This window comes from Homo sapiens, chromosome 3 (genome assembly GCF_000001405.40).
Source record: "Homo sapiens chromosome 3, GRCh38.p14 Primary Assembly".
Lineage (NCBI taxonomy): Eukaryota > Metazoa > Chordata > Mammalia > Primates > Hominidae > Homo > Homo sapiens.
The window spans coordinates 81,052,799-81,071,673 of record NC_000003.12 but is presented as its reverse complement, the minus strand read 5'-3'; the positions used below and the strand labels follow the sequence as shown (position 1 = coordinate 81,071,673).

Below are 18,875 nucleotides of genomic sequence, written 5' to 3'. Positions count from 1 at the left end.
CTTGTGGGTGTATGTGTGTGCTCTGTGTTTGACATTTGACTATCTTTAAGGTCACATATATTTCCCAGAATTGTTTTTGAGAAGAACAATAATATCCGCATTACTTAGACACGCTAGTTAAAATATGTAAATGCTTTTACATTAATTAAGACTTTATTTTAAATTGTTCTGAGAGCTGTTACAATGAAATCAGAGCAAGAATCTTATGTAAGATTTTGGAGATTTGCATTTCATTTTGGTGTAAACACATACAAAATTCGCTTTAGTGAATAATGAGCTGCATGCTGTATTTTCTTTTGACTTTTCTGTTATTTTCTCTTGTTCCTGTTGTGGCAAATGGTTTTCATAGCCAACTCCTAGACTGGGCTACTTAAACTACTGTAATGTGTTAAGTGGTTTTATTGAGTAGAATGTGATTCCATTAACATGTTTCAGCGTGAAAACACTGGCAGTTCAGGACAAATGCTTCTGTTTGTAAACTATAATAAAACGTATCTTAGAGGCTATATAGCCTGACAAAGATTGCTACCTTTTATTCTGAACCTCTCCTGTCTTTATCAGGAAATGTGTCATTCTTTTCCCTCATAGCAATCCAAAACCTCTGGCATTTATAAATCAAAGAGGTAAAAATGCCAGTGAAATGTATATAGTATTTGCATGTTTGAGCCCAGGTGTTTTTATGAAAGTTTGCTGACTTGATAATATCTAGCTATTTGTAGATTTAAAAAAAAATGTGAATGTCACCTTCTAAAGGCAGAACTCATTATGTACAATGAACATAAGGAGAGACCACCATATACTTTTCTCCCTTTCCCTACCTCTTTAAATTAAAGCTTTGCTTTAAGGGATGCATACTTTTACTGCAGTAAACCTGAATGATTCTACTTCTTTAATGTAAAACTAATACTTCCCAGTTTTAAATCATGTTTAGATTTCTCGTTACAATTTGAAAAATGAAAGCCTAAATAAAAGTAGGTGACAGATTCATGGCTATTCAGATACATACACACACACAAACACAAGTTAGGGGAGCAAGTTTGAGTAGTATTCTTGATACTTTTTAAAGAGAGTGATTTGAGTAATAAACTTAAAACAGGTTTTAAAAGGAATTCACAACAAATATTAGATTAATTTGAGATTTAGGAGCTATGGGAAATTTGAAAATAATTGCGGTGTCTGACAGCTGTAAACAGCATTGTTTTTCCTACCAATTTGCCAGAAAACCATTTGCTTGATGGGATGGTGGTCACCAGGTTGCTGGGCTATATGTAAGGTAGACTTCCTGCTACAAGAGAACGTAAAAAAAATTATGTGAGACCTTGTTCTACTTTAATTAATTACTAAGCATGATGAATGTGCAGACTAACATGGAAGTTATTGTAAGAGTTAAAGCAAGAGGAAAGAAACACGAAAAGTGGGTCAACAGTCAAACATGGGTTCATTTTGGAGAATAAACCTGAGAGGGACTTCTGGCATATTTTGCTCAGGAGAGCTTTCTCTTAAAGACTAAGAGTATTTAAGGGTTCAGGGCGAGAGACCTTAACAAAGGAGTACTTGGAATGTTTCTGTGTGGAGGAGAAGTTGATTGTGGGGCTGGAATGTCTCTGGTTGGAGGAGAGGTTATCTTGGGGCTGACATCTCTCCTGCCGGAGGGGAGGTTATCTTGGGGCTGGCATGTTTCTGATTGGGGAGGGGTTTATCTTAGGGTTGGAATGTTTCTGGTTGGAGATGTCATTTGTGGCTTATGGTCATGCTGACCTTAGCCATTATGCAGATGCCCTTTACATTTAGGTGGTTTTTGATCAAGGAGAACTTTAAAATGGCAGTGCTTGTCCAAGATGGCAATGCTCCTGCTCTGTCAATCTAGACCCTATAGTTATAAAAGCAGATGAAGGATGGCGTGTTCTTTCTGGCTACTTCCTGGTGATGAAGGGACAGAGAGTTTTCTGGTCTCAGATTGACTGTAAAAGTAATGCCATCTATATATGTTTTTGGGTAGTTATCTGTGAAATGGCCATGACCTTGTCAGTTAAAAATATTTGAAAAGTGTTAATTAGGCAGGTGAGAACATTACTCCTAGGCATATTGTTAGGAGAGGACCCAGGAATGGGATGACCCATGCTATGGTTTTGGTATTCCAAAACAATTTGGGGTTCCCGGCCTGTCAGAAAGTGATATTCTTTACTTACCACAGGTCAGAAACCCTGTACAGAGACTGTGTACAAAAAATACGAGGCCAGTTTCCTAAGGGCCTTCTTGGCTTCATAAGTTAAATTTAATTCCTTAAAGGAAAGCACACCATTCCAGTCAAAGCCTTGGTAAAAATAACTAGGTTTTCCAATTGTGCCCTGTTACAAAATAAAACAGATTCTTATTGCACTTATGCAAACAACTATATTGCCATAATTTAAGAATACTCACAGATAGTTTCCAGAATTTGGAAAATTTAGAGAAAAACAGGATGATACCCCTTCAACTTTAGCCAATATGTTTACACACAGAATTTCCTTTACAATTAACCTTCCAAAACTTGCCTAAACCTTCATTTTTATTTTATTCAACTTAAAACATTTCTTTAACCTTTTAATCTAGGTAAAAATCCAAATTCTCATGCCTCCTTATAATCTTTTTACCAAAAGTATATGTAAACTATTTTTTCAATAGTCTTAAATACATATTATGTTAACTTTTAGCAACCTTTACTTTTGTTGGTAAGTTTGGGATTTTGATTATGTACTAGGTGTAGAGCCTAGGACCTAGACAGAAGTGCAAATAAGGTCTGACTTATTCCAGCATTTAACTCCATGTGTCTTAGGTCTTACCTAGCTGTAAAGCGGGCAAGTTGTACAGCTAAGAGTTATAGTGGCATTTTATAAAGCATTCAGGAGGCCTAGTCACTTTTAAACTGCACAACATTTCTTGCATAAATTACCTTTTAGAAAATTTTTCATGACTTACACAGACAATCTCTGACATGCCTTGACTTTCTGACTTATTGTAAACATCCCTCTCTTTAAGTAATCAGTTAATTTACTTTAGTACAAGAATTTACCATATAAGATTCCTTTTTATATAAATTATCTTTACTTTAATATCAAAGATGATAACAGTCCTTTCCCAAAACAATCTTCCTTCATGTCTGTGGGCTAGACTGCCTAAGGCCACAGGATTAGAAGTTAGGGTATTTCACTAAATAGTTCAAAATGTAGCTATCTTTATTACACCAATATTAATATTTCATTTATTAAAAAATTACACAAGCAAAGATTATAAATGTATGCTGGCAACTCTTAAGACATTTGTAATCTTACTGTACTAGTAAGTTTTAAAGATTAAAGTCATGTGAGCTGGAAGGTCACACAGCTTTTACTTTTCCCTTAAAAATATTTGGTTTAAGCACTTATTTTTCTTAGGCCTATTAGAGTTTTTTAATAGACATTGCACGCATAACACATATGCAGTCCCACAGAAAACCAGAAGATCCAGTAGTTATATTTTTTTCTTTTTTGCTAATTTCCCAGTTGGATTATTAGCCTTTGGGTGAGGCCCTTTAAGAACAGGGCTGGGAAAACAGATTCCAGGTCCTAATAAACAAGTAGAGCTGGAAGACAAAGACAGATTCTGAGAGGTACTTATTCACCTCTAATTCCATTGGTTCCATAAGGAAAACAGACATTTTTCCCAAAACGGGATTTGTGGTGCCTTTTCTCTATTCCCAAGGAGTCTGAGGCCACTAGAAGTCATTTTAGGGTTTTTCATACACCAAGAGTGGCAAGACAGAAAAGTAATTCAGTCAACTGGGAAAAAATCTTTTCCAGGCAAACAAGATTTATGAAAAGAAAAACATAAAGGCCTTTTGAATATACTCAAAGTTCAGAATATTTATTTTAATTAAGCTGAGCACTCTTTTTCATCGGGGTGAAGGTGGAGGTTAGAATTATATAAATATCATGCCAAGTTAAATGAAAGGATTAGGTTATGTGCAGGAATTCCCAGCGATAATGAGAAGGATTTACAGAGAAAGATCCCAGGCGCTGTTTGATCTGCAACAAATCAGACTTGGAGAAAGCGCATGAACACAAGCAATGCCTTCAACCCCAGCCACTTTCCAGAGAAGGAGAATGGCAGAGTATTTTGACTAGCTGGAGTAATTTTTCTTTTTGAGACAGAGTTTCACTCTTGTTGCCCAGGCTGGAGTGCAATGTCATGATCTAGGTGTGGCTCAAGCCTGTAATCCCAGCACTTTGGGAGGCCAAGGCGATTGCATCTCCTGTGGTCAGTTGGAGTAGTTTCTGAACAGATAACAGGTGGAGAAAGAGGAGGAGTGGGATTTGGGGCCGAAGGCTTGCAGGTACGAAGGACCACTGTGGCGGAGGGTTCTGGCAGGCAAGGAGCGGATGCAAGGGTATTAGAATATGGAGGGGGTTCGTGCATAGGGTCAAAGGGGTTTTGGAGGAAGGGATTTCTAAGGAAGGCATTTTGGAGCAAGGAGAGACGAGGGGAGGGTTTTCATTAAGAAGAAGGATTTCATGAGGGGTGCAAGCTTGACCCAGGGAGGGTCGGGATCTAAGGTAGAAGAAAGCCTGAATATAGAGAACCTCTTGCCATTTGACATTTCTGGTTATAAAGTTCTCAAGGTCCCTGAGAATTTGAAAGTCAAAGAACCCCATTTTCAGGCCATTGGCTGTCATTATCTAATTTATATCGGGGCCAGGCCATGTTGCAATAAAAAACCAAACACTTTGGCTTTATGCTTCCTGTAAGCCAAGTTAAGCGAGGCTGTGAAAAGTGGTGAGGACTAGGAATGTGGGATTGTTTGGCACACATGTGACTGGTGAGAAGAGGCTGAGTGTGTCTGTTTTTGTTCTCGGCATCCTCAGACAAACGACAGAGACTCGCAATCCTCTTTCTAAAGAGGACGTTTAAGCTGAGAAAAAACTGGGTGTCCCCAGTATTTTTTCTAGCTTAGTCCCACTGGTTCTCTGAAGACTGGGATGGTAGACCTGACTTTCCTGGGTAGCAGGAGAAAGCCAGGGGAGGGCAGATCTTACCAGTCAGTGAGATTAGTGTCCCATGTTGGATGTTCTTGTTGGAATTGGTAAATCACACGAGGAAGAGAGAGAGAGAGAGGAGGAGGAGGAGGAAGAGGAGGGAGGAGGAGAGGACAAGGGTTACAGAGCAAAATACCCATTGGGGGTGGTCGGAGGTGGATTCCTGATATCTGAGGGTTTTGTAGTCCACTGGGGAGTGCCCTATCCTGAGCCTTGCAGTCCCCTTCATGTTAGTTGTTTTCCTCATGCAAATCACTCAAAAAGTGAAGTGAGAGACAAGATGGGGTGGATGGCCAGAGACTCTCAGGATCCAGTGGGATGAGCTGCCACTGCCCACTGCTTCCTGGGTTGCAAGAGAGCTTCTACCCCTGAAACCCATCCCGGGTCTTGGCACCAAATATAAGAGTTAAAGAAAGAGGAAAGAAACACAGAAAGTGGTTCAACAGTCAAAGACAGATTTATTTTGGAGAATAAACCTGAGAGGGGCTTCTGGCCTATTTTGGTCAGGAGCATTCTCTCCTACAGACTAAGAGTATTTAAGGGTTCAGGATGAGAGAACTTAACAAAGGAGTACTTGGAATGTTTCTCCGTGGAGGAGAAGTTGATTGTGGGGCTGGAATGTCTCTGGTTGGAGGGGAGGTTATCTTGAGGCTGACATCTCTCCTGCTGGAGGGGAGGTTATCTTGGGGCTGGCATGTTTCTGGTTGGGGAGGGGTTTATCTTAAGGTTGGAATGTTTCTGGTTGGAGATGTCATTTGTGGTTTATGGTCATGTTGTCCTTAGCCATTATGCTGATGCCCTTTGGATTTAGGTGGTTTTACATCAAGGGGTACTTTAAAATGGTGGTGCTTGTCTAAGATGGTGATGCTCCTGCTCTGTCAGTTATGACTCAAAAAGCGAAAAAAAATATAATATTTGACCAGTAATTCTCAGGTAGATGAAAGATGGCCAGGATGGACAAGTTCCCTCATATTTATAAAAGGCTTCAAATGTGGAGTTTGATGTTTTCTTCAACCTGTTACACATTCGCTTGTATTTGAATGAGGAGATATTAAAATATGTGGTAAAACAAATGTCTATGGCATACCTTAGTTTTTAATGTTGGCTTGTCATTTACAAACCCCTCTCATTATTCTGGAAGTCTAAAAAATGTAGCTCATATATTGCTTTCAATGTAGGAGAGGCACCAATTTTGAGAAGAGAGAGGAGAGTCTGCAGACAGTGGATATGGGTCAAATAGAAAAATACAACAAGGTAATACAGCAGGTAGCACTGTCTTCTCACAAAAAATGAATGTAGAATTTAGGAAAAGATGGCATTTTATTTTCCATAAATATAAAAAGAGGCACTAACAAGACAAGGAAAGTTTCAGAAAAGACACAGCTAAAAATGTGTGCATTGAGAAAAGGTTTATAAAATCACTGAACATGGACTTTAAAGGTCAAAATAGAAAAGAAAATGGAGAGATGGCCTATTAATTTAGATAAATTGTATAATATTAAAGAATGATAGAGAAATGAAAACAGCATATCCAATGTTTTGTTGTGTCACTCTTGTCATGTAGAATAATTCAGATGCAAAGAATAGACCAAAATTAAAGGGTAATATAAGACAATCATTAGTGGTTTCTAGCCATTTTAAATAATTTCAACTCTTCATAGTCAAAAATACAACTTATAGAAATTGAAAATGCTGATTTAATTAAAGCAGTCAAATATTGATTAACTCTCAGATTCATGAAGTTTAAAGGTCAAAATTTACTTTTTCAAAATTCTCTTTTTATATATGAGAGAACCGAGGCATTGGCATGTTAGGTCCATGGACATAGACCAACATGCTGAGTAAGTCCAAATCACAACTAGAATCCACATCTCCTGACCATCAGCTCACTATGATTGACATCATAAACCCTGACCACCTTTGTCCGGGGTTTTCCTTCCAAATTTTTCTGCTTTACAATATTGTGAGAAACCATAGACTTAACTTAGCATCTATGATATCTCAGTCTTGTACCAGGTGTTTTATGTACATTGGAACTAAGTCTCATGAAATCTCTGAAATGTTAAGTATTCTTAACTTCATTTTACAAGACAAGAAAATGAGGCTCATAGAGACTAAATTACTAGCCTAATATCACATAGTCAATAGAGAGAAGAGTGGGATTTATAGATAAAAATGCTATTCTCTTCATACTTCCTAATATTATGCCACCACTACTTTATTTGAAAAAGATAATTCCTCTATCAGCATGTCAGCCAGCAGTGCATGTGTAAATTTGTCTATCAGCTTGTTTTCTTTTTAAGGTGCATGATAATCACTGATTTTCAAACTTTACTGTGGAAGTGAGTTTCTTGGGTGATCTTCTTAAAAATTCAGATTTGACTCAGATGGGGCCTAAAATTCTGCAATTCTAACACACTTCCAAGTAATCCTGCTACTGTTGGTCTACAGATTATGCTTTAAGAAGCTAAATATTAGTAGTGCTATATAACACTGTGGCCCTGTGGACCCATAGCAACCTGGAAACTATTACTCTTCTGCAATGAGATAAGAAACTTGTGCAAGAATGTAAATCAACACCAGTCTTCCTTCATGGAAAAAGTGGTTAAGAAAAGAATGACAGGTGAACCAAACAGTATTCTTTAGATTTGCATTCTGACACAAGCTCTTTTTCTCATATGAGACATTAGATAGGTAACAACCAATTCCCTCACAAGCTACTTGAGAAGCACATACGTTGTGTGTTGAGAGGGGATGAGAACTTTGAATATGGAAGAGGAAGAATAAAACAAGTTTTGCTGAAAAAATGTGTTACGTGGAAATGGAAAAGCTCCGCAGTGCAGAGCTCACTAAGGTGTGAAGATATTCTCAGGGCATAGAGAAAAAAAAAAAAGACTATGTTTGGACGTAAGATAGACTTTTCCTATTTAATAAATTTACCTTAGGCATAGAAGAGTGTTCTTCTCACACTGTCTTAGCAATGCTGCTTTTAGAATCTTAGAAATGGTGGTGTCCACAGTTCTCCAGTCTGACTATTCATTAGAACCAATCTTGTGTTCTTTAAAAATGATTTCTGTGGAGACTATGATTCAATTAATTTGCATTTAATTGCTTGATCACTAGAACATTTTAAGCTCCTCAGGGATTTGTAATATGTAGCCAAGGTAAACATATCTACATTATGGATAATTAAGCACCTGAAGACTTACTTGTGAACCTAAGCATTAAGTATAACATATTTCTAAGGAAATAATATTATCATCCAGTATGTGGTATCATCAAATCTCTACAGAATACAGGAGGAACTAGACAGATGGCATAGGAGGAGCTAGAGAGGAGTAATTGCTAGTATATAACATGAATTCAGTGACTACTACTTGGGGCAAATTAGGCTTATTTTTTTTTTGGTAGTTGTTTCATTTAAGATAAATGAAATCTGCATCATAATAATACCACTTTATCTTTCTCTTAGCTGTTGATAAAAATACTATTTCATGTATATTATTATATGGTGCATCCACAATTCTGAATATTAAGCATCAATAGTTACTAATCTTATTAAAATTGAATTTCTGAGATTGTAAAGACTTATTTGCTTTTACTTAGTTATGTCTATTGACATTATGTTAAATCTACAAATCTTGGTTGCAGAAAATGACTGATTAAGTCTTCCCTTACAAATTTTTGGGCAAGGTAAAAATATGTGGGCTGGAATATAAGGCCAATAGGTGGATCTGTAGATTATTAAATATATTTATTCAAAGTATGTTGATAGATGTCAACCTTGATAGAATTCTTTAAAGAGAAGATCAGGATCTGCTCTGGATCTACACTTTCAAATATTTATTATCCATGATGTGATAAGATATAGAAGTTATGGTTATCAAATACACCTAGCTGAGATTGACAGCTAGAATTCCACGCACCGGAATCCGTAGTTTAAAATCCTGACAGACTGGAATAGGAGGTCAAATATAGCAAGATAAAATTTGCATGCAGATAAAATTCTGCTTAGGTTCAAATATAGCAGGTGCATGTAAAGAAAACGTATCAACTATCCTCAAGTATTCGAAGTGTTTTTGTAGAAGAGCATTTTGACATTGTTTGCATGAATCTCCATGACAGAACTAGCAGAATGAACAAAAATCAAGGCAGTTTGTAGCAGAATCTGAGAAGATTTTCTAACAGCACAAGAACTAACATTTTCAGAAGCTTCATCCATAGAGAAGCTTGCTGCTCTGCCACATTCTTCTACTTAGTCCTTTTCACACTGCTGGGCAGAAGGGACAGTTAACTGAGATTATGGAAGTTAGGCCTCTGCAAAAAGTCACATATGGAACACGAAGCAGACTAAAGATTGGAAGTCATAGCTGCCTGCCTGCATTTTGCAAGAAATAGTGATCAAAATAATACATTCTTAACAATGAGAATTATTTAAACACAAAGAGGGGATCAATCATCAAGAATGTTCCAGAGAAAAGTTTCTTAAATGGGCAACTGAAAAACAAAATAATTTTAATACTCCATTGTTTTTTAATTGTTGGAATTTTCTGAAACTCTACTCCTTTTCTAGCAACTACCTCCTTCACAATCACATAATTATCATGGGGATTACAAGTTAGTATCATAGCTTCTCCTTGCCTCATCAAAGGTACAGTTAGTAGGGTGGCCACAGAATGGCTAGGATTAGTCCTAGACTGGGCAATGAATCCTTTGCATAAGGTTTTTAAACTAGAAGCTAGAGCACGTTATTATTCTTACAGGCGATTCAAACTACAAAATCTAAATCTCAGGAACTGGTAAAAGCCATGTTTTTTTTTTTTTTTTTTTTTTTTTTTTTTTTTGCTAGATAGAGGAATTTTGGCTGGAGCTAGAGACACAGAGAGATTCAGATGAGAAAGGAAGATCCTCATGGCTTTCAATAACCTGATTCTATATTTTTTGAGTCTGAACTACATTCTAGTCATTGGTTCACAACCAACATGAATTCAGCCAGTTTAAATGGGTTTTTCACTATTACAACTCAGTCCGAAGAGTCATTTTCTGCCAAGAATTCTAATAAATAAAAATTAAGATACAGCAAGGTAGTAAAATATATTTAAAGATTAAGTCATTGCATATAGGAGCCACAATTTCTATGTAAATAATGTAAATAACAAACAGAGGTTCTCTAACAGAAAATGGCATTTATTTGGGAATAGAGAAATGCAGTGGGAAAATGTGTGCCATAGTAAACTATGTGTGTAGTCAGAGAGGTAAAGGAAGATAAAGATATTTAAAGGAAAAAATGAGGAAGACTATATTATTGTTTTGAAATAATTATCCTTGGCTAAAAAGATCAATAACAAAGATAACTCCAGTTTGACATTGGTCTGGCAGTTCTCGGGCAGATGTTTTTGCAGAGATATTTTTTGTGTAAGGTTGCAAATAGCCTTTGTGGAAGGTTGTGGTTTTTGCAGTCTTTTGTGATAGTTTTTTGTCGTCAGGCCTGTAAGCATATAAACCCTCTCTTCAAGGCTTTTGGTGGCTCTATTTATCAAGATTTTCTTTAAAAAAAAATGGGCTCCATCTTGATTCTGACAACTTTCAGATATAATTTAGTTCTATCAAGAAAATTGTTACTTCATAATATAAAGCTTGATATTCATGCTACTCTAAATTTTTTATGTAAAAATGATTTTTGTGTTAACATTAGTATTTAATTTTCTTAATAAAGTTACCTTAGTAATAATGGCATAGAAATATTGGAAACCCATTACTAATACAATGTACATGCTTAACTCTGTGTGAATGTGCGTGTGTGTGTGTGTGTGTGTGTGTGTGTGTGTATAAAATAAGAATGCTAATTTTAGTCCCTATACTACTCTATAAAATTAAATTTTCTATTAAAGATATAATTGCAATTGAAAGTGTTTTTAATTAGAACATTTAATGCTGCATTTCCAATGTTTTACACTGGGGCCTCAACATTAACCCTGCAGTTAGCATACTTAATTAGTTGTTTTATATAAAGCTTATTAAAAATGTAAGCTTTAAATCTAATCTCTGCTCCATTTTACTCTCAGCATCTCATACCATACTCAGAATAGTTAATTAAATGGCAATAAAATCTTTTGCTTTGTGTCTATAACCATTAACCTTTCAACAATGATTTCTAAACAGAACCATGCATCTGAGTGGTCAATTATTTTATAAGAAGGCACTCTGATGGTTTCTGTTCAATAATCTTCTTGTAACAAACACTCTTTAATAAATGTCTATAATGATAGTTGGAATGCATATATTATGCCAATAAATTTACACTTTCCTATCACCTTTTTCTTTCTAAAAACAAATGTTATTGCATCTTATTGGCTATTGATGCTTTTTTGCATATTGGTAAAAATGACTTTTACGTGGATATTACATTAAAAACATAATAAAAGGTAATATATTATTGTAATTTTTATATATAAAGGACAAACATTTTCCTGAATACAGAGAAAATTTGGGGAAATTTATCTTATGATTGTCTTTCACATACCTGAAAAATGTGAAAGAGATTTCCTCCAAGGCAAAGTTTGAAATGTATCTTTATTATTCCTTACTTTCAGTAAAGTTGTGCAACAACTGGTATTTTGAGAAAAGAAACAAAATGATGATCATAGATGTCTTAAATATAAGTCTACATATGAATATATATATAGACATATAGAAATAAAATTATGAATAAAATATTTTCTATTTTAAAAGGCTTTCTGAAAATAGGCCTTTAACAATTATTAGCAACAATTTTATTTTGGTAGTAGCACATTTTTGGAGGGGTAGTTATACTTTTTTCTGGTTCTTGCATTTCTGGCTGGCATTGGGGACATGCGAGTGAGAACTGTCATGTCAATAACTGTAATACAATCTACACCAATCTGACTTTTTTTTTTAGAAAAAGTGAATAGAATGATAATCAAATTTAAAGAATTTTAAAATGGGCACTTATAAAATATAAAAGAGAAAATTATTGAGAACACTCTTGATACTTCCAATTTTCAAGGTCTGGTTATATTCAATTTTGTTACAATTATACTAACTATTCAGTGACTCTGAAAATAATCTTTTTACATTCCTGTTTATTTATATCTATTTCTACATCTATGTATAAGTAAGCATGAATCTATTTTTATGTCTTATCAACAATTTTTTACTAGATAAAAATATTTGAGAAATATACTTTAAGTCCTGAAAGTAGATAGTTTAGTGGTATTTTAATTGTAGGTTACATATATTTTTGGATATTTTCATACTGCATGTCAGTATGTGTGAATGATTTTACAATCACACATTCCTTTTAATATTAAAAACTCGTGAATTTTCATGAAACTTTCTGGTGGTATGGAAAATATAAAAACAATCTGTAGCATTTAAAATATTTCTGTGGTATCTTTTTACATTGGGAACTTGGAAGAATATTTTAATTATAATAATATTAACTCTATGTTTTAAAATATTAAGATGGGGATTTATAACAAAAGGAACATAGACATTTATACCAATCTCTGATATGTAAATTTCTATATCTGGGGCTCTATTATATTTGATGCAAACCAGTAGATTCAGACTAGTAAAAGTAAAATTATTGGTAAATCTACCAGTATTTTTAAAATCTAAATTAATACATTTTATGATTATGAACAGAATTCAATTAAGATATCAGGAGAAAATAGGTTCACTATCATAATATCAAGCCATTTGGCAAAATTTAAATGATGTGAAATTTTGGAATTCCAGTTAGAACCATGGACAAGTCTATGACACTAAACACTCAGTGCTACAATTCTGTGAATGATCCAGAATTATTAATGTTTAAAACTTGAAAAAAACATGGTTTTTTATGTTAAAATATCTGCTAACTGGTCAGCTGGAAATCATTCAACTTTTATATACATTACATTTTGTATCTTTGTATTATAAAATTTAAATAATATGTAAAATCCGGCCAGGCATGGTGGCTTATGTCTGTAATCGCAGCATTTTGGGAGGCCGAGGCTGGTGGATCACTAGGGCCAGGAGTTTGAGACAGGCCTGGGCAGCATGGCAAAACCCTTCTCTACTAAAAGTACAACAACAGCAACAAAATTAGCTCGTGTGGTTGTGCATGCCCAGCTACGCAGGAGGCTGAGGCACAATAATCACTTGAACTGGGAGGTAGTTGCAATGAGCTGAGATAGCACCACTGCACTCCAGCCTGGGTGACAGAGCAAGACGCTGTCACACACATACACACAAATTAGATCTAACATTGGATAAACATTATATATACATATATACATATAATAGCGAAATAAAATAAACTATATATAATACTATACAAATTATATCTATAAACTGTGTGCTGTGGCTAACTGTAAGCATTTTATATAAAGTGGGAGGAGTTGCCTAATATATCCTTAAACACAATTATTGTAATCATATTTAAGACTTATTCCAATAAATATTTTCTAAGGCTTTGTTTTGTGTATTAAAAATTGTTATTCTTTATGAAGGAAAAAGTAAGATTGTAATATGTTGTTATCAACCTCAAAGATGCTTAAGATATAATTGGACAGAACTATAAAATAATATTTAAATAACAATGTATCCCATTTCAAAATCATTTTTATTCTTTTTTTATTCCTCTTCTATAACACAAGACAAAAGTATCTTTTTGAAATAATTCAATTTAAAATGCTAGGCTTAAAATTTGAATTAACTCCGACATGAGTTTATAAATTCAACATGGTTTCATTAGTAATAACAGAGAGAATATTTGTTTTGTTTCCTTGTTTTTAATTTTCTTTGGTTTTTGTAATGTTTGGAGCTAAACCTGTTAATTTTAGATTTATGTGAACCAATAAGGACTAATCAGGAAGACTCTGAAAGGGAAGAAATGAAGACAAACTGTACCAAAAAATCAAGGAAAAATCCCATTTTAAATAGCAACAAAAATTAGGAATAAATTTAAGTAATATAGTGAAAGATTTGTATTCTGAAAACTATACATATTGATATATGACATGAAACTATAGTATCGATGAAAGAAATTGAAAAAGACACAAATGAGTGGATAGATACCCCATGTTCATGGATTGGAAAAATTATTATTTTTTAAATGTTCATACTTCCAAAACAATATGTAGATTCAATGCAATCCTATCAAAATTCTAAGCTTCTTTCACAGAAATAAAAATAAAAATTCGAAGATGGCCGAATAGGAACAGCTCCGGTCTACAGCTCCCAGCGTGAGCGACGCAGAAGACGGGTGATTTCTGCATTTCCATCTGAGGTACCGGGTTCATCTCACTAGGGAGTGCCAGACAGTGGGCGCAGGCCAGTGTGTGCGCGCACCGTGCGCGAGCCGAAGCAGGGCGAGGCATTGCCTCACCTGGGAAGCGCAAGGGGTCAGGGAGTTCCCTTTCCGAGTCAAAGAAAGGGGTGACGAACGCACCTGGAAAATCGGGTCACTCCCACCCAAATATTGCGCTTTTCAGACCGGCTTAAAAAACGGCGCACCACGAGACTATATCCCACACCTGGCTGAGAGGGTCCTACGCCCACGGAATCTCGCTGATTGCTAGCACAGCAGTCTGAGATTAAACTGCAAGGCGGCAACGAGGCTGGGGGAGGGGCGCCCGCCATTGCCCAGGCTTGCTTAGGTAAACAAAGCAGCCGGGAAGCTCGAACTGGGTGGAGCCCACCACAGCTCAAGGAGGCCTGCCTGCCTCTGTAGGCTCCACCTCTAGGGGCAGGGCACAGACAAACAAAAAGACAGCAGTAACCTCTGCAGACTTAAGTGTCCCTGTCTGACAGCTTTGAAGAGAGCAGTGGTTCTCCCAGCACGCAGCTGGAGATCTGAGAACCGGCAGACTGCCTCCTCAAGTGGGTCCCTGACCCCTGACCCCCGAGCAGCCTAACTGGGAGGCACCCCCCAGCAGGGGCACACTGACACCTCACACGGCAGGGTATTCCAACAGACCTGCAGCTGAGGGTCCTGTCTGTTAGAAGGAAAACTAACAACCAGAAAGGACATCAACACCGAAAACCCATCTGTACATCACCATCATCAAAGACCAAAAGTAGATAAAACCACAAAGATGGGGAAAAAACAGAACAGAAAAACTGGAAACTCTAAAACGCAGAGCGCCTCTCCTCCTCCAAAGGAACGCAGTTCCTCACCAGCAACGGAACAAAGCTGGATGGAGAATGATTTTGACGAGCTGAGAGAAGAAGGCTTCAGACGATCAAATTACTCTGAGCTACGGGAGGACATTCAAACCAAAGGCAAAGAAGTTGAAAACTTTGAAAAAAATTTAGAAGAATGTATAACTAGAATAACCAATACAGAGAAGTGCTTAAAGGAGCTGATGGAGCTGAAAACCAAGGCTCGAGAACTACGTGAAGAATGCAGAAGCCTCAGGAGCCGATGCGATCAACTGGAAGAAAGGGTATCAGCGATGGAAGATGAAATGAATGAAATGAAGCGAGAAGGGAAGTTTAGAGAAAAAAGAATAAAAAGAAATGAGCAAAGCCTCCAAGAAATATGGGACTATGTGAAAAGACCAAATCTACGTCTGATTGGTGTACCTGAAAGTGATGTGGAGAATGGAACCAAGTTGGAAAACACTCTGCAGGATATTATCCAGGAGAACTTCCCCAATCTAGCAAGGCAGGCCAACGTTCAGATTCAGGAAATACAGAGAACGCCACAAAGATACTCCTCGAGAAGAGCAACTCCAAGACACATAATTGTCAGATTCACCAAAGTTGAAATGAAGGAAAAAATGTTAAGGGCAGCCAGAGAGAAAGGTCGGGTTACCCTCAAAGGAAAGCCCATCAGACTAACAGCGGATCTCTCGGCAGAAACCCTACAAGCCAGAAGAGAGTGGGGGCCAATATTCAACATTCTTAAAGAAAAGAATTTTCAACCCAGAATTTCATATCCAGCCAAACTAAGCTTCATAAGTGAAGGAGAAATAAAATACTTTATAGACAAGCAAATGCTGAGAGATTTTGTCACCACCAGGCCTGCCCTAAAAGAGCTCCTGAAGGAAGCGCTAAACATGGAAAGGAACAACCGGTACCAGCCGCTGCAAAATCATGCCAAAATGTAAAGACCATCGAGACTAGGAAGAAACTGCATCAACTAACGAGCAAAATCACCAGCTAACATCATAATGACAGGATCAAATTCACACATAACAATATTAACTTTAAATATAAATGGACTAAATTCTGCAATTAAAAGACACAGACTGGCAAGTTGGATAAAGAGTCAAGACCCATCAGTGTGCTGTATTCAGGAAACCCATCTCACGTGCAGAGACACACATAGGCTCAAAATAAAAGGATGGAGGAAGATCTACCAAGCCAATGGAAAACAAAAAAAGGCAGGGGTTGCAATCCTAGTCTCTGATAAAACAGACTTTAAACCAACAAAGATCAAAAGAGACAAAGAAGGCCATTACATAATGGTAAAGGGATCAATTCAACAAGAGGAGCTAACTATCCTAAATATTTATGCACCGAATACAGGAGCACCCAGATTCATAAAGCAAGTCCTGAGTGACCTACAAAGAGACTTAGACTCCCACACATTAATAATGGGAGACTTTAACACCCCACTGTCAACATTAGACAGATCAACGAGACAGAAAGTCAACAAGGATACCCAGGAATTGAACTCAGCTCTGCACCAAGCGGACCTAATAGACATCTACAGAACTCTCCACCCCAAATCAACAGAATATACATTTTTTTCAACACCACACCACACCTATTCCAAAATTGACCACATAGTTGGAAGTAAAGCTCTCCTCAGCAAATGTAAAAGAACAGAAATTATAACAAACTATCTCTCAGACCACAGTGCAATCAAACTAGAACTCAGGATTAAGAATCTCACTCAAAGCCGCTCAACTACATGGAAACTGAACAACCTGCTCCTGAATGACTACTGGGTACATAACGAAATGAAGGCAGAAATAAAGATGTTCTTTGAAACCAACGAGAACAAAGACACAACATACCAGAATCTCTGGGACGCATTCAAAGCAGTGTGTAGAGGGAAATTTATAGCACTAAATGCCTACAAGAGAAAGCAGGAAAGATCCAAAATTGACACCCTAACATCACAATTAAAAGAACTAGAAAAGCAAGAGCAAACACATTCAAAAGCTAGCAGAAGGCAAGAAATAACTAAAATCAGAGCAGAACTGAAGGAAATAGAGACACAAAAAACCCTTCAAAAAATCAATGAATCCAGGAGCTGGTTTTTTGAAAGGATCAACAAAATTGATAGACCGCTAGCAAGACTAATAAAGAAAAAAAGAGAGAAGAATCAAATAGACACAATAAAAAATGATAAAGGGGATATCACCACCGATCCCACAGAAATACAAACTACCATCAGAGAATACTACAAACACCTCTACACAAATAAACTAGAAAATCTAGAAGAAATGGATACATTCCTCGACACATACAATCTCCCAAGACTAAACCAGGAAGAAGTTGAATCTCTGAATAGACCAATAACAGGATCTGAAATTGTGGCAATAATCAATAGTTTACCAACCAAAAAGAGTCCAGGACCAGATGGATTCACAGCCGAATTCTACCAGAGGTACAAGGAGGAACTGGTACCATTCCTTCTGAAACTATTCCAATCAATAGAAAAAGAGGGAATCCTCCCTAACTCATTTTATGAGGCCAGCATCATTCTGATACCAAAGCCGGGCAGAGACACAACCAAAAAAGAGAATTTTAGACCAATATCCTTGATGAACATTGATGCAAAAATCCTCAATAAAATACTGGCAAACCGAATCCAGCAGCACATCAAAAAGCTTATCCACCATGATCAAGTGGGCTTCATCCCTGGGATGCAAGGCTGGTTCAATATACGCAAATCAATAAATGTAATCCAGCATATAAACAGAGCCAAAGACAAAAACCACATGATTATCTCAATAGATGCAGAAAAAGCCTTTGACAAAATTCAACAACTCTTCATGCTAAAAACTCTCAATAAATTAGGTATTGATAGGACGTATTTCAAAATAATAAGAGCTATCTATGACAAACGCACAGCCAATATCATACTGAATGGGCAAAAACTGGAAGCATTCCCTTTGAAAACTGGCACAAGACAGGGATGCCCTCTCTCACCGCTCCTATTCAACATAGTATTGGAAGTTCTGGCCAGGGCAATCAGGCAGGAGAAGGAAATAAAGGGTATTCAATTAGGAAAAGAGGAAGTCAAATTGTCCCTGTTTGCAGACGACATGATTGTTTATCTAGAAAACCCCATCGTCTCAGCCCAAAATCTCCTTAAGCTGATAAGCAACTTCAGCAAAGTCTCAGGATACAAAATCAATGTACAAAAATCACAAGCATTCTTATACACCAACAACAGACAAACAGAGAGCCAAATCATGAGTGAACTCCCATTCACAATTGCTTCAAAGAGAATAAAATACCTAGGAATCCAACTTACAAGGGATGTGAAGGACCTCTTCAAGGAGAACTACAAACCACTGCTCAAGGAAATACAAGAGGGCACAAACAAATGGAAGAACATTCCATGCTCATGGGTAGGAAGAATCAATATCGTGAAAATGGCCATACTGCCCAAGGTAATTTACAGATTCAATGCCATCCCCATCAAGCTACCAATGACTTTCTTCACAGAATTGGAAAAAACTACTTTAAAGTTCATATGGAACCAAAAAAGAGCCCGCATCGCCAAGTCAATCCTAAGCCAAAAGAACAAAGCTGGAGGCATCACACTACCTGACTTCAAACTATACTACAAGT

The 18,875-nt window shown here is 36.7% G+C and overlaps 1 long non-coding RNA gene across 1 annotated transcript in view, besides 2 other annotated features; it reads right to left on the bottom strand.

The window, feature by feature from the left end:
* LINC02027 (long intergenic non-protein coding RNA 2027) overlaps nt 1–18,875 on the bottom strand; it is a 101,780-nt gene that overhangs the window by 23,974 nt on the left and 58,931 nt on the right. The window lies entirely within an intron of this gene.
* Nucleotides 13,900–14,632: an enhancer, noted in NCBI's record as "NANOG-H3K27ac-H3K4me1 hESC enhancer chr3:81106193-81106925 (GRCh37/hg19 assembly coordinates)". NCBI's record gives its function as "activates a minimal SCP1, AML or CMV promoter by ChIP-STARR-seq in naive H9 embryonic stem cells {active_cell/tissue: H9 hESC(naive)}" and the evidence as "EXISTENCE:reporter gene assay evidence [ECO:0000049][PMID:30033119]".
* Nucleotides 14,633–15,366: an enhancer, noted in NCBI's record as "NANOG-H3K27ac-H3K4me1 hESC enhancer chr3:81105459-81106192 (GRCh37/hg19 assembly coordinates)". NCBI's record gives its function as "activates a minimal SCP1, AML or CMV promoter by ChIP-STARR-seq in naive H9 embryonic stem cells {active_cell/tissue: H9 hESC(naive)}" and the evidence as "EXISTENCE:reporter gene assay evidence [ECO:0000049][PMID:30033119]".